Below are 12,425 nucleotides of genomic sequence, written 5' to 3'. Positions count from 1 at the left end.
ATTTCTAAATTTCTGTTATTATTCATTCTTCTTGTTGTTGTTGACAGGGTCTCACTCTGTTGCCCAGGCTGGAGTGGAGTGGCATGATCATAGCTCACGGAAATGTCTAACTCCTGGGTCCTCAGCCTCCCTAGTAGCTGGAACTACAGGTGTATGCCACTGCACCTGGCTAATTATTATACTTTTTTTGGTAGAGATGAGGCCTCTGTAGGCCATCCAGGCTGCTCTTGAACTCCTGGGCTCAAACAATCCTCTTCCCTTGGCCTCCCAAAGTGCAGGGATTATAGGCATGAGCCACTGTGCCCAGCCTTATTATTCATGCTTAACCAGAAATCTCTGCTGTATTTTACAATGGAGATAGAATAGATCAGCTATGTCTGTTTCCGGATCTGTATTCTCTTCATTCAGACTTGGGAACACAGTGCGAACATGGCATTGTCTTACTTGCCTTACAAAAAATACTAGAGCCCTTTACTACCAAAACCAGAGTCTCAAAAGTGACTACAGCACACACATTTGGTTAAGAGAAAACTCATAAAATTGAGTCTGCAAGCCAGATGGGAACCCATAAGAGTCTGTGCTGGCATTAGAAAAACAGTGAAGCTCATTTAGTCCATTGACCATCAGCTATCTGAGTTTCTCTGCACAGCTCTTAGGGGTGACCACCCAACTTAACTGATTTATTTAGTTCTGTAGTCTGTCTATGATTTGAGGTCATGTAAACCAACCTTAATGAAAACCTCCAGTGAAGGAGAGTTCAGAAAACTCCAGGCTGTCAGAAAGTGGTTTTGTCATTGTTGTTGTTGTTAACGGTCACTTTCATATTCTGGTATTTTCTGATATTCTGATATTGTTTCAGTCTCCTTACAGGACATAGGTGGCACATTGAAGAAAGCTTCAATGCAACAATAATTTACAATAACATGGGCACAGTAATGGAAAACAGCAAAGAACTGTGAGGAACTTTGCTGGCACTTTTTCCAGGGCCAGCAGCTGGAAAGAGGGGCCACAAAACATCAGCAAGGAAACTGCTGTTCTAAAAGAAAGACACAAGAAGCTGTGCTTCCAGAAGAGAAAAGTAGTCACTGCCACCCCAGGAACCTGGCATGGAGGGATGCAGTGGTGTAATACCACTCTCTCCTTGCACCACCCACAAGCCCAGCCCATCCTGGGGACAGACGCATGCTGAAAGTGGAGGTCGGGTCTGGAAGGGCAAAAGCAGATGGCCCAGCATAGCCCACCACTTTTCTTTGTCAACATCAAGTATTTCTGTGTCTGTACGAAAAACCAAGGTTCTGTCCCAGGGAAATGACGGAGTCCCATCAGCTACAGGATCATAACAAGGAGATGTCAATTCAGTCATACTCGCCTGAAAGCTACAGCACCTTGAACGGTTCACCCAACCACCTCATCTGCATGTGGTTCTCGTGGCACGTAAAGCCCTAACTGGGTGGTCTCAGTTTCACACCGCTATGACTTTGTTTTCTGCTGGAAGCAGTTCCCCTTATCACCAGAGCCTCCAAACCTAGAAAAGCCAAGAAAGCAGAGATGGAAGCAATTCCTGATGTGGGCTATTTGGGGCAAAACTGGTATCTCCCCTTATGTCCCCCGTGAGTAAGCATTCCACAGACAGTTTCAAAACATTATGTTGTATACTGATGTACACCAGAAATAATAAAACCATCAGAATTCCCTGTCAGTTGCTGATTCTCTAACAAAAATAAATCCAACCTTGGCCCCTAATATAACTGAAGATATTTGAAGATAAGTCATGTCTTTGTGGATATGATAATATGTGAGAAAATTACTTTCTCCATGATAAACAGGTTACGTGAAAACTCATTAACCTCGACAGGTTTTGAGGAGTTTTTCCCATTTAAATGCCTGTTGTGTTTTGACTTGCTGAGTCTTCTGAAGCCTCACTCTTTTGCATTTCTTTTTTTTTTAAAGAAGTAAAAAAAAATTTTAAAAAAATACTTTTGTATTTAATTCTTCTTTTCATATGTCCCTGGATATCTCACTAATATGTCATATCCCTAAACATTTGTAGGACTTATTTCTCAGCCTGGGATATGCATGGGTCTAACCAAGTCTGTTTGCTACCTCCTACTTTGAAGATCCAGTTAGTATGATGACATTATTATAATGGATCAGTGTGAGGTTTTATGGATAATTAGCAAAATCAGAGTCTCTCAAAACAATATACCAAAAGAGAATAGGAGAGCAAACCTAGCCTGGAGTTAAGACACCAAAGGTATATTGCTGCTCTTGTCACAGGCAAACTGCATAAAACCATTATCTTTGCTGATAAGATTTAGGTGGGGAAATGCTAGGGCAATAGCTAAATAGCAGGTGCCAGGGACTTCACTGATTTACTCCAGTTAAAATACTATATTCTGAGCAATGTCTCTATCTGATTAATTGTTCAGCAGTCCCTGATCACCCTCCAAGATCTTTATAATTTATTGCAGTAGTCATAAAGGAGAGTTACATAGACTATACTGGGAATCACAATACCTTTATTTTTCAAGAGCTTTATGGTGGCATTAATCTCTGAAATTTCCCCTGGAATGTGGTATTGCTTTGTTAATAACTTGGAGAGTGGGCATTCCAAAGTCTTTCCTACTAAAATCACATTCATTACACACCAGGAAGCTAATGTGAGAACTCTGCATGTTACTAAGCATAACTAGTCCCAATTACATTCTAGGATCAGAAACTTACCTCAAGGTGTGTGTACAAACCATAGGAGCCAGTATGAGTTGAATTCAAGTTAAGACTGTATTTCACTTCTATGAACTATGGCACACACTCTCAATGATAGGCCACACTGACTTTCTGGGGACCTAGAAATTAGCATGTGAATATTTTCCTTTCCAGTGCACAGTAACTCTGGCAGATAGCAACAAGCCCTTCTGGGGAAGGTATAGAGTTGCAGTGTGTATGTACAGCTGTCAGTCAGGGTCGTCCTTCAAAACAAACGAGCTTCTCCGTCAATCATAGAACTTCAGTTATGTGAACTGTCCTTAGGTTTAGGAACTGGGCAAAAAAAATCTAAAAATCCCTATAGAGCAACTCATGTCACGTTTCTGCCTAGTAGACTTAGAGTATTTCTACTTAGAAAGACTCTAATCAAAGATGCTTTAATTCTTAAGGAATTTATGATCAACTAACCACACCACAGGTATGTAGGTCAAAATAGTAATTGTTGAGAGAACACATATGTCCTACAACCCCCACCCACCATAACAAGTGTAGAATAAGAACCACAGTGGGGTATAACTCAGAGAGCAGCAAGAGGCAGACTCTTTGGGAAGCAGCACAAAGGGAAGACCCCAGTGCAGTGGTGAGACAAGCCAGGCATCTTTTGAATAAGCTGAATCTGAGCTTTCGCATGCACTGTGGGTAACCCCGGCAACAACAAACTCCAAACCCAGCCCAATCTATAAGGTCACTAATGCAAAACCCATTGTATACATGGGCCTAGGAGAAGAAGATGCAGAAAATGCATTTAGGGAAATCCAACACCCATTCATGCTTGTCTCAAAGCATGAAAACTATTTACTCAATATCTAATTTCTTTTTTTTTGAGACGGAGTCTCGCTCTGTCGCCCAGGCTGGAGTGCAGTGGCGCGATCTCGGCTCACTGCAAGCTCCGCCTCCCGGGTTCATGCCATTCTCCTGCCTCAGCCTAATATCTAATTTCTTACAAATATATCTGACTTTCAAAAGAAAAATTGTAGAACAAACAAAAAGGCAAGAAAAAGCATAGTTTGAAGAAGCAAAGCAATCAGAACCAAACCCAGGTATGACACAAATGTAGGCACTATCATACAGGGAAGTTAAAATAACCAAACACACCTAAGGATGTGAAGAATGCCATCCATAGGTTCTTCATTACACTCCACACAGCTGAACAAAGAATTGGGGCGCTTAGAAAGGTACAAAGTACAATAAAAATGGCCTAAACTAAAAGGCAAGAAGAAAAAAAAGAAGAAGAAAAAAAAAACCTCCACAAAGCAAAAGAGCTGTGTATTTATTAATATATAAGTAATCAGAAAATCCAGAAAGAAATAAAAGACATTAGAGAAGAAATAATTGAAGTAATAATGGTTGAAAATTTTCCAAAATCATGCAAACCAGAAAGAATGGAGTAACACAGGTAAAATGCTGAAAGATTTTAAAAAACCTGCCAACTCAGAAATATAAGTATATTCTGGTATTATCCTTTAAGAATGAAAAACTATGAAATGACTTAACAATAGAATTTAAGTTACATAAGGCTAAAAACTGGTAGATTTGAAAGCAGGAATAGACAAATCTATAATTATAGTTAGAGACTTCAATACTTCTTTTTCAGTAATTGCTATTACAGTACAAGCAGGCAAAAAATAGTAATGTTAGATGACCAAAAACATTCATAACCCACCTAACCGAACTGATGTGTAAAGCAACCCCAATAACAGCAGGAAAAACATGAAACGTTCACTAAGATACACCATGTTCCAGATCAGTACAAAAACAATTAAAAGCATATTTTTAAAAATTAAAAATAAATCTGAAAGAATAAAAATCATAAAAAGTCTGTGTACCATATAAAATAAAATAAAAAGCAATAACAGAAGATATCTGAAAAATTCTCAAATATTTGGAAACGTAAAAACTCTTATCAATAACTCATTGCTCAAAAGGAAATCTCAGGAGAAATTTTAAAATATTTTGAACTAGAAGAGAATGAACAGAAAAACCTTCAACAAAATATTAGTAAGTTGGACTTAACAACGTGTAAAACAAATTATATGTCATGACCAAGTGGTATTTATTCCAGGTATGCAATCCAAAATATCATATGATTGTATCAAGAGATGCAGAAAATGCATTTAGGGAAATCCAATACCCATTCATGACAAGAACAACAAAGTAGAAATATTGAGGAAATTTCTCAAATTGATAAAATACATCTAAAAAATTCTACAGTTAACATCACTCTTAATGGTAAGAATATATAGATGCTTTACTATTAAGACCAGAAAAAAAGAAAGAATGTCTCCTCTAATCACTCCTATTCAACATAGTACTGCAAGTCCTAGCTAATGCATTAAGACAAGAAAAGGAAATGGAAGGTAGGTATATGTAAAGGAAGAAATAAAACTTTGTTCACAGATAACATGATTGTCTACATAGAAAAATCTCACAAAATCAACAATAACAGAACCCCTGAAACTAAGTGATTAAAGCAAGATTGCAAGTTATAAGGTTAATATGCGAAGTCAATTGCTTTCTTATATACCAGCAATGAACAATTGAAATTTGAAATTAAAAATACATTATCACTTACATTGACATTAAGATGTAAGTATAAATCTAACAAAAAAGTACCAGATTTATCAAAATATGTGCAAAATCTATATAAGGAAAACTATAAAACTGTGATGAAACAAATCAAAGAAGATTTAAATATACAGAATGATATTCCATGTATACGGAATATTATCAAGATGTCAGTTTCTCCCAACTAAATATAGAGATTCAATGCAATCCCAGTAATATTTCCAGCAAGTTATTTTGTAGATATCAACATACTAATTCTAAAGTTTTGTATAAAAGCAAAAAACCGGAATAGCCAACACAATATTGAAAGAGAAAAACAGTCAGCAGACTGACACTACCTGATTTAAAGAGTAACTATAAAGCCACAGTAATCAAGACAAGGAAAGAATGGCTAGATTATGAAACATAACAGAGAGCCCAGAAAAGGCTCACATAAATATAGACAACTGATTTTTTTGACAAAGGAGCAAAAAAGCATTTCAATAGAGAAAGCATAGTCTTCTCAACAAATGGTGCTGGAAGAAATAGACATCCACAAACAACAGCAACAACAACATAATCTACACACAGACCTCACACTTTTCTCTAAAAGTAACTTAGATCAGGGATCTAAATGTAAAAAACAGAACAATGCAACCTGTAGAAGACAGAATAAGAGAAAATCTAGGTGACCTTAAATTTGGTGATGACTTTTTAGATACATTGCCAAGAGGGCAATCTATGAAAGCAAAATTTTATGGATTTTATTAAAATTAAAAAAGAGTTGGACTTTATTAGAATTAAAAACTGTTGCTCAGTAAAAGACACTGTCAAGAAAATAAAATGAGAAGCCACAGACTTGGAGAAAATATTTGCAGATCTGATAAAGGACTTGCATCCAGAATACACAAAGAACTGTTAAAACTCAACAATAAGAAAACAAAGCAATTTGAAAAAACAGGCAAAAGATATGAACAGCTCACCAAATAAGCATATGAAAAGATTCTTAACATCATATGTCATTCGAAAATTGTAAATTAAAGCAACAGTAAGCTATTCCTATACATCTATTAAAATGGTTAAAATCCAAAACACTGACAACATCAAATGCTGGCAAGGATAAGGGGCAGCAGGCATTCTCATTCATTGTTGGTAATACAAACGGTCACTTCCCACACAGCCAGTTGGGAAGAGAGTTTGGCAGTTTCTTACAAAATTAAACATATGCTTACCATATGATCCAGCTATTATAGCCCTTGGTATTTACCAAAATGAGTTGAAAACTTCTGTCCATACAAAAACCTGCACACAAATATTTTAGCAGTTTTATTCATAATTACCGAAAGTTGAAAGCAACCAAGATGTCCTTCAATAGGTGAATGGATAAAGGATAAACTGTGGTGCATCCATATACTGAATTATTATTCAGTGAAAAAAGTAAAAAAGTATTATTCAGTGATAAAAAGTTTGAGCCATCAAGCTGTAAAAATACATAAAGGAAACTTAAATGCATATTGCTAAGTAAAAGAAGCCAATTGGAAAAGACTTCATACTACATGATTCCAACTACCTGATATTCTGGAAAAGGCAAAACTACAGACACCGTGAATAGTTCAGTCATTGCCAGGGATTTGGGAGAAGGAAAGGACAGATAAACAGTTACAGCACAGAAATTTTTAGGGCAGTAAAATTCTTTTATAGGATACAGTAATGGTGAATACAAATCATGATAAGTTTGTCAAAACCCGTAGAATATACAATAAAAAGAATAAATCCTAATGTAAATTATGAACTTTAGTTAAAATAATGTATATATTGGCTTATCAACTGTAACAAAAGTACCACCCTAATCCAAGATGTTAATACTAGGGTAAACTGGCCGGGCGTGCTGGCTCACGCCTGTAATCCCAGCACTTTGGGAGGCCGAGGTGGGCGGATTACCTGAGGTCGGGAGTTCGAGAGCAGCCTGACCAACATGAAGAAATCCTGTCTCTACTAAAAATATAAAATTAGCCAAGCATGGTAGCAGATGCCTGTAATCTCAGCTACTTGGGAGGCTGAGGCAGGAGAATTGCTTGAACCCGGGAGGCAGAGGTTGCAGCGAGCCGAGATCACGCCATTGCACTGCTGCCTGGGCAAAAGAGCGAAACTCCATGTCAAACAAACAAACAAACAAACAAACAAAAAAGCTAGGGTAAACCGTGTGTGCGTGTGTTTGGGTGAATAATAGGTATAGATAGAACTCTCTGTGCTATATGCTTAATTTTTCTGTAAGCCCAAAGCTGCTCTTAAAAAGTGTATTAATTTAAAAAATGAAAAGAGAATGAAAATAAAACATATCAAAATTTGGGGGAATACAACTAAATGCGTGCTTAGAGGGAAATTTATAACATTAAAGCCTTATATTAGAAAGAAAGATTTAAATTTATTAACCTAATATTCTACTTAGGAAAACTAGAAACTAGAGAAAAGAATAAAATTAAAACTAAAACAAGCAGAAAGAATAAAATAGAATAAATTAGAGCAGGTTGATATAATTAATAACAGAAAACAGAAAAACAACAGAGGAAACAAATCTTGTTCTTAAAACAGGATCAATACAATTGCCATAGCTGTAGTGAGGATCATAAAGAAAACAAGAAAACCTAGATTATTAATATTATGACTCAAACAGGAAGCATCATTGCTGATCCCACAGACATTACAAAATAATAACAGAATCCACAAAGCATCATTATGCCCATAATTTTGGAAACTTATGTGATATAGACCAATTCCGTGGAAGATTAAAATTATCAAAACTCATTAAAAAAAGAAATAGATAACCAGTAGTCCTATATCTATTAAAGGCATTAAATTTGCAGGTAAAAACTTTTCAATGAAGAAAATTCTAAATAAATTTTGCTCAGTAAAAGAAGCAAGACCAAATGGCTATATAAATACATGTATATAACCTTACCAAAAAGGAAAAAGCGAAATCATTATATCAGAAAACAGACTGGTGGCTTCCAGGGGCTGGCACAGGTGGGGTTCACCTGCAGTTTCCTCAGAGCCACTCTGTGTACTCAGAGAAGAGGTGGTCAGGTAGGCAGGGGAGTCAAAAGCAAGTAGTGGCTAACTTTCTGGGGACCTCAACAAATTCTCTTTCAAGTGGGCTTTGACCTTGGATATGCTCCTTAACATCTCTGAACTGCAATTTTCTCATCCCTTCAATCTCCCACTCTAGAAGATGAAAGTCAAGGAAAGTGGCCGCAACAAAAGGTTGAAGAAAGTGCCCAGCCCGGGCTGGGCAGAGATGACAGGTGGTAGTGCCATGTCAGAGGGGAAGGCACCCCTCCAGGACAGAGGGCCTAGGGATGCTGCACAGAGAAGGAGGGCTTTGAACAAAATACAAATAAAACCTGGTTACTAGGAATTAATTGGCATCAGGAATCAGGAGCTGGGAACCCGGTTCTGCACAGCTAAGCTTCACTAGGCCACTTCCCCATTCTGGCTGTTGGTGCAAGTGTGTGGCCACATAGTCTCCAATTTCCCTCCAGTCCAGCACTTTATGTGTGTGTCTTAAACAAGCCCAGTTGGATGTACTGTGGGAGCCACACTTTTTTAGTTCCCCTTTCTGTCCAATAGCTTCTCCAGCATTGCCAACGACACAGACAACATGCTTCGCAGCAGAGAGGATGCTCTGCTTCTCACTGCTGTCACTTGTTTTCCATTGTGCCCTCATTTTTATCTTGCTTTATGTCCCATGGAGCTGAGTCAGTCACACCCATTCTCCTTTTACTCAGAATCATCAACCAGATAGAGGGTCAAAGAATGCAAGCTTTGACTCTGATCTGTTTTAAATCTTTAAAACAAAACAGTGAAGTGGCCTGTTAGATGCTGTAGTCAGTCCCAGCAGTAGAACATATTAATAGAAATAAGGTCTCTAGAGAGTTGCTGTTTTAATCTGAAATCAGTGCCGCTCACCCATCTACCACCTGAACCCTGTGATTCAAGCACGTGCTGAGTCAGTAGGACCACCTCTCAGTGCAGCTGGCTGGTCCAGATAGTAACGTCAACACTCTTAGAAATGCAGGAATCCCTTTTCTAGCTTCAGAATTTATTTCCTGACGTTCTAGGGCAGACATAAGATGATGTTTACCACTCAGTTATTTTGCTGTTACTAAGTGTGTAAGATTTTTTTAAAATCAAGTTTCATATTTTATTGGTATTTTTTCTTTTATTTTCAGTTGACACATAATAATTGCACATATTTATGGGATATGGAGTGACATTTCTATATGTATATAAAATAGATCAAATTGGGGTAATTAGCATATCTATTACATCAAATATTTATTATTTCTTTGTGTTAGGAACATTCAAAATCTTCTAGCTTTTAGAAAACATAAAGTATTCTTAACTATATTCACCCTCAGTGCTATAGAGAATTAGAACCTATTTTTACTATCTAACTATAATTTTGCTAAGTTAGTGAGATTTTGATATACATATATATATATATATATATATATATATATATATTGGAAGAATCAGTTTATCCAAAACAAAGTAAAATCTCAAAGGCTTACCTAAGAGGAGTCCTAGGATTCAGGAGTGCACAGTGCCCTCGGTTCTCACTTGATGGGCCGTCCACCTCCCTGAGACCCTCTCATGGCCTCAGGGGATTCTCCCGATGGCGGGGAGGGCTGCTGGGAAGCTGCTTCCCACCACGGCTGTGTTCCCATGGGGCTTACTCAGGCACGGTCAGGCCCACACTGTCATCAACACTTAGCTTTCTCTCTCACCCACATCAAGTGATTTTATGAGGCACGAGTTACCAGCATCTCCATGTTACAGATAAGAAAACAAGGGTCCTGGTGTTAAATGACTTTCCCAGATCACAAGTGGATGGGGGTGGCTCTGGGGCCCAGAAGCAGGCAGGGTCTGACTCCCTAGGCCAAAGCTGAGCCTGCAAGCCATCCACGTGCAGTCCCACGGGCCCCAGAACTCAATGCTCAGCCTGTTATCTCCCACACCTGTGACTCTGCCTTTTGATTCTTTTCTTCTCTGACAAGTGCCAGATGGTTCCACCTAAACCAGGCACTCAGGATCATTCTTCATTGCCTCCTCACCCTCACTCTTTTCCAATCTAGGAATGAGCCAGTTCTGCTGAGTTTACTTCCTTAATACTAACCCCTACACTAGTTGCCTTCTTCAGGTTGCGTTTAAATAGTGTTGATCACAGATTCTGGATTAAGCACATCTAGGTTTGATTCCTAGATAAGCTTCTGAATAGCTGTGTGACCTTGGGCTAGGTACTTAACTGCTCTGTGTTTCAATTTCCTCACCTTTAAAATGGAGTAATAATACCAGCTAACTGTATAAGATTGTGTGAAGATTAATTCATGGACATGTTTTGAGATGGAGTCTCGCTCTGTCACCAGGCTGGAGTGCAGTGGTGCTATCTCAGCTCACGGCAACCTCCACCTCCCAGGTTCAAGCGATTCTCCTTCCTCAGCCTCCCAAATAGCTGAGACTACAGGCACGTGCCACCACACCCAGCTAATTTTTGTATTTTTTAGTAAAGATGGGGTTTCACCATGTTGGCCAGGATGGTCTTGATCTCTGCCCATCTCAGCCTCCCAAAGTGTTGGGATTACAGGCGTGAGCCACCGAGGCCAGCCAATACATGCACATTTTTTTGAAGAGTACATGCAAAAAGTGAGTGCTTATGTTTGCTGCTGTTTACTGCATGGTGGTGCCTGACTTTTGGAGGGTGTACTTTGTTAAATGAGGGTGCCACATTTCCAAAGATGCTTATAGGCAGGCGGTTCAAGAACATGGGGACATGTTGGTCATAACCCTCGTGGATATGGCAGCAGGAGGCCGCATAGACATAGACCAAGTGGGAAAAGCAGACCAGGGAAGTACAAGAGCTGGAGGTAATTGCCTGGAAATAAAGGCTGGAGCCAGAGGAAGACCCAGCCCAGCAGATACATGTAGCCCTAGAAGAGAAGATGGATTCAACTCAGAGGCCCCTAGCCAGGAGTGCTCACCAGCCATTATATGCTTCAGCTTTTCCAATGAACAATGGGAAAGTTCCTTTAACTCTCAAAATAAGTGCTACCTTCTAGGCTCCAGAGTAAGCCGGGCACATTCCCTCCTCCCTGCAGTGCCCCTAAGAAGCAGCAGCGAGTTTCTAAAGGGACATCAGCTCCATGTTCTGAAGACTGGTTGTCTTTTTTGAGACGGGTAGCTGGCCCCAACTAAGGTATCAGGAGCCCGGGCAAGTACTTCCACATGGGGCCCTGACTCAGCAAGACACCAATGTTGAAGAACAGAACAGACAGGAAGGGGCTAGGGAAAAGTGTGTCACTTGGAAGGCAAGCAGGGGCTGGGATCATTATGCCCACCTCCATGATGCATCTTGACCTCGCCAGGATGAGCTCTGGAGTCGGGGTCTTCCCCTCTCCACACTCCCACCCCACCAGTGGCTCTCAGGCTGGCCATTCCACTTGTCCCACTCCACAGATAGCCATGGGCTCACAGCCTAGCATGGCCATGCCACCACAGAAGGACCCGCTCCCACCTAGGATTCATGCCATGTAAACAATGACCTTCCGTAATCTCATGTGTGTGACACTTTGGTGTAGTAAAGCCAAGTCTGCCCTTTATACAGAGGAGGGAAGTCAAAGGGAAGCTGAAGGGTAGGGCTGCCAAGGGGATACTCCACAGGCATCCACTTTGGCTGCCAGGGGCTCCTAGGGAAAGAGCTGGTTGATTGACATCCAGATTTGCTGAGCCCATGCTTAGAGTGAGAATTTTTTTTAAAAGATTGGAAAATAGAAGAGAAAATCTGGAAAGAGAAAGCACCATGAATTCCCTCTTTCTATCTTTATCAACAAATAGTAGAGAGAAGGGCAATTTTTTAAGCACCTATTAAAACTTTAAAAAGGATAATATTCACAAGATGTAAGCACCCTAACTTGGGGAACTTGGTTTCCTTCACTGTTGTTTACGACTATGATCTCCAGAATCCAGAACAGTATATTCAAAACATCTCTCTTCAAAGTGTTTGTGGAATGGACTTAAGACTCAGCAATTCTACTTCTCAGGATTTGGTTGCCATTTTC

General features: G+C 39.4%; 2 long non-coding RNA genes across 7 annotated transcripts in view; one reads left to right on the top strand and one right to left on the bottom strand.

Moving 5' to 3' along the window:
- LOC105370740 (uncharacterized) overlaps nucleotides 1-1,692 on the top strand; it is a 74,705-nt gene extending 73,013 nt beyond the window's left edge. The window contains exon 6 of one of the 2 annotated variants that reach the window (XR_007064792.1): nucleotides 860-1,692. This is a non-coding gene — a long non-coding RNA (uncharacterized LOC105370740). The remainder of the gene's footprint in view (nucleotides 1-859) is intronic. The other variant, XR_007064791.1, reaches the window with a different exon arrangement.
- The window catches only part of LINC02248 (long intergenic non-protein coding RNA 2248), a 94,817-nt gene extending 84,748 nt beyond the window's left edge, over nucleotides 1-10,069 (bottom strand). For all 5 annotated transcript variants that reach the window (XR_001751453.2, XR_001751451.2, XR_001751452.2 and 2 more), the window contains exon 1: nucleotides 9,882-10,069. This is a non-coding gene — a long non-coding RNA (long intergenic non-protein coding RNA 2248). The remainder of the gene's footprint in view (nucleotides 1-9,881) is intronic.
- Nucleotides 10,070-12,425: the final 2,356 nt, after the last annotated feature.

Source organism: Homo sapiens, chromosome 15 (genome assembly GCF_000001405.40).
Source record: "Homo sapiens chromosome 15, GRCh38.p14 Primary Assembly".
NCBI classification, from domain to species: Eukaryota; Metazoa; Chordata; class Mammalia; order Primates; family Hominidae; genus Homo; species Homo sapiens.
This window is presented reverse-complemented; position numbering and strand designations above follow the sequence as displayed.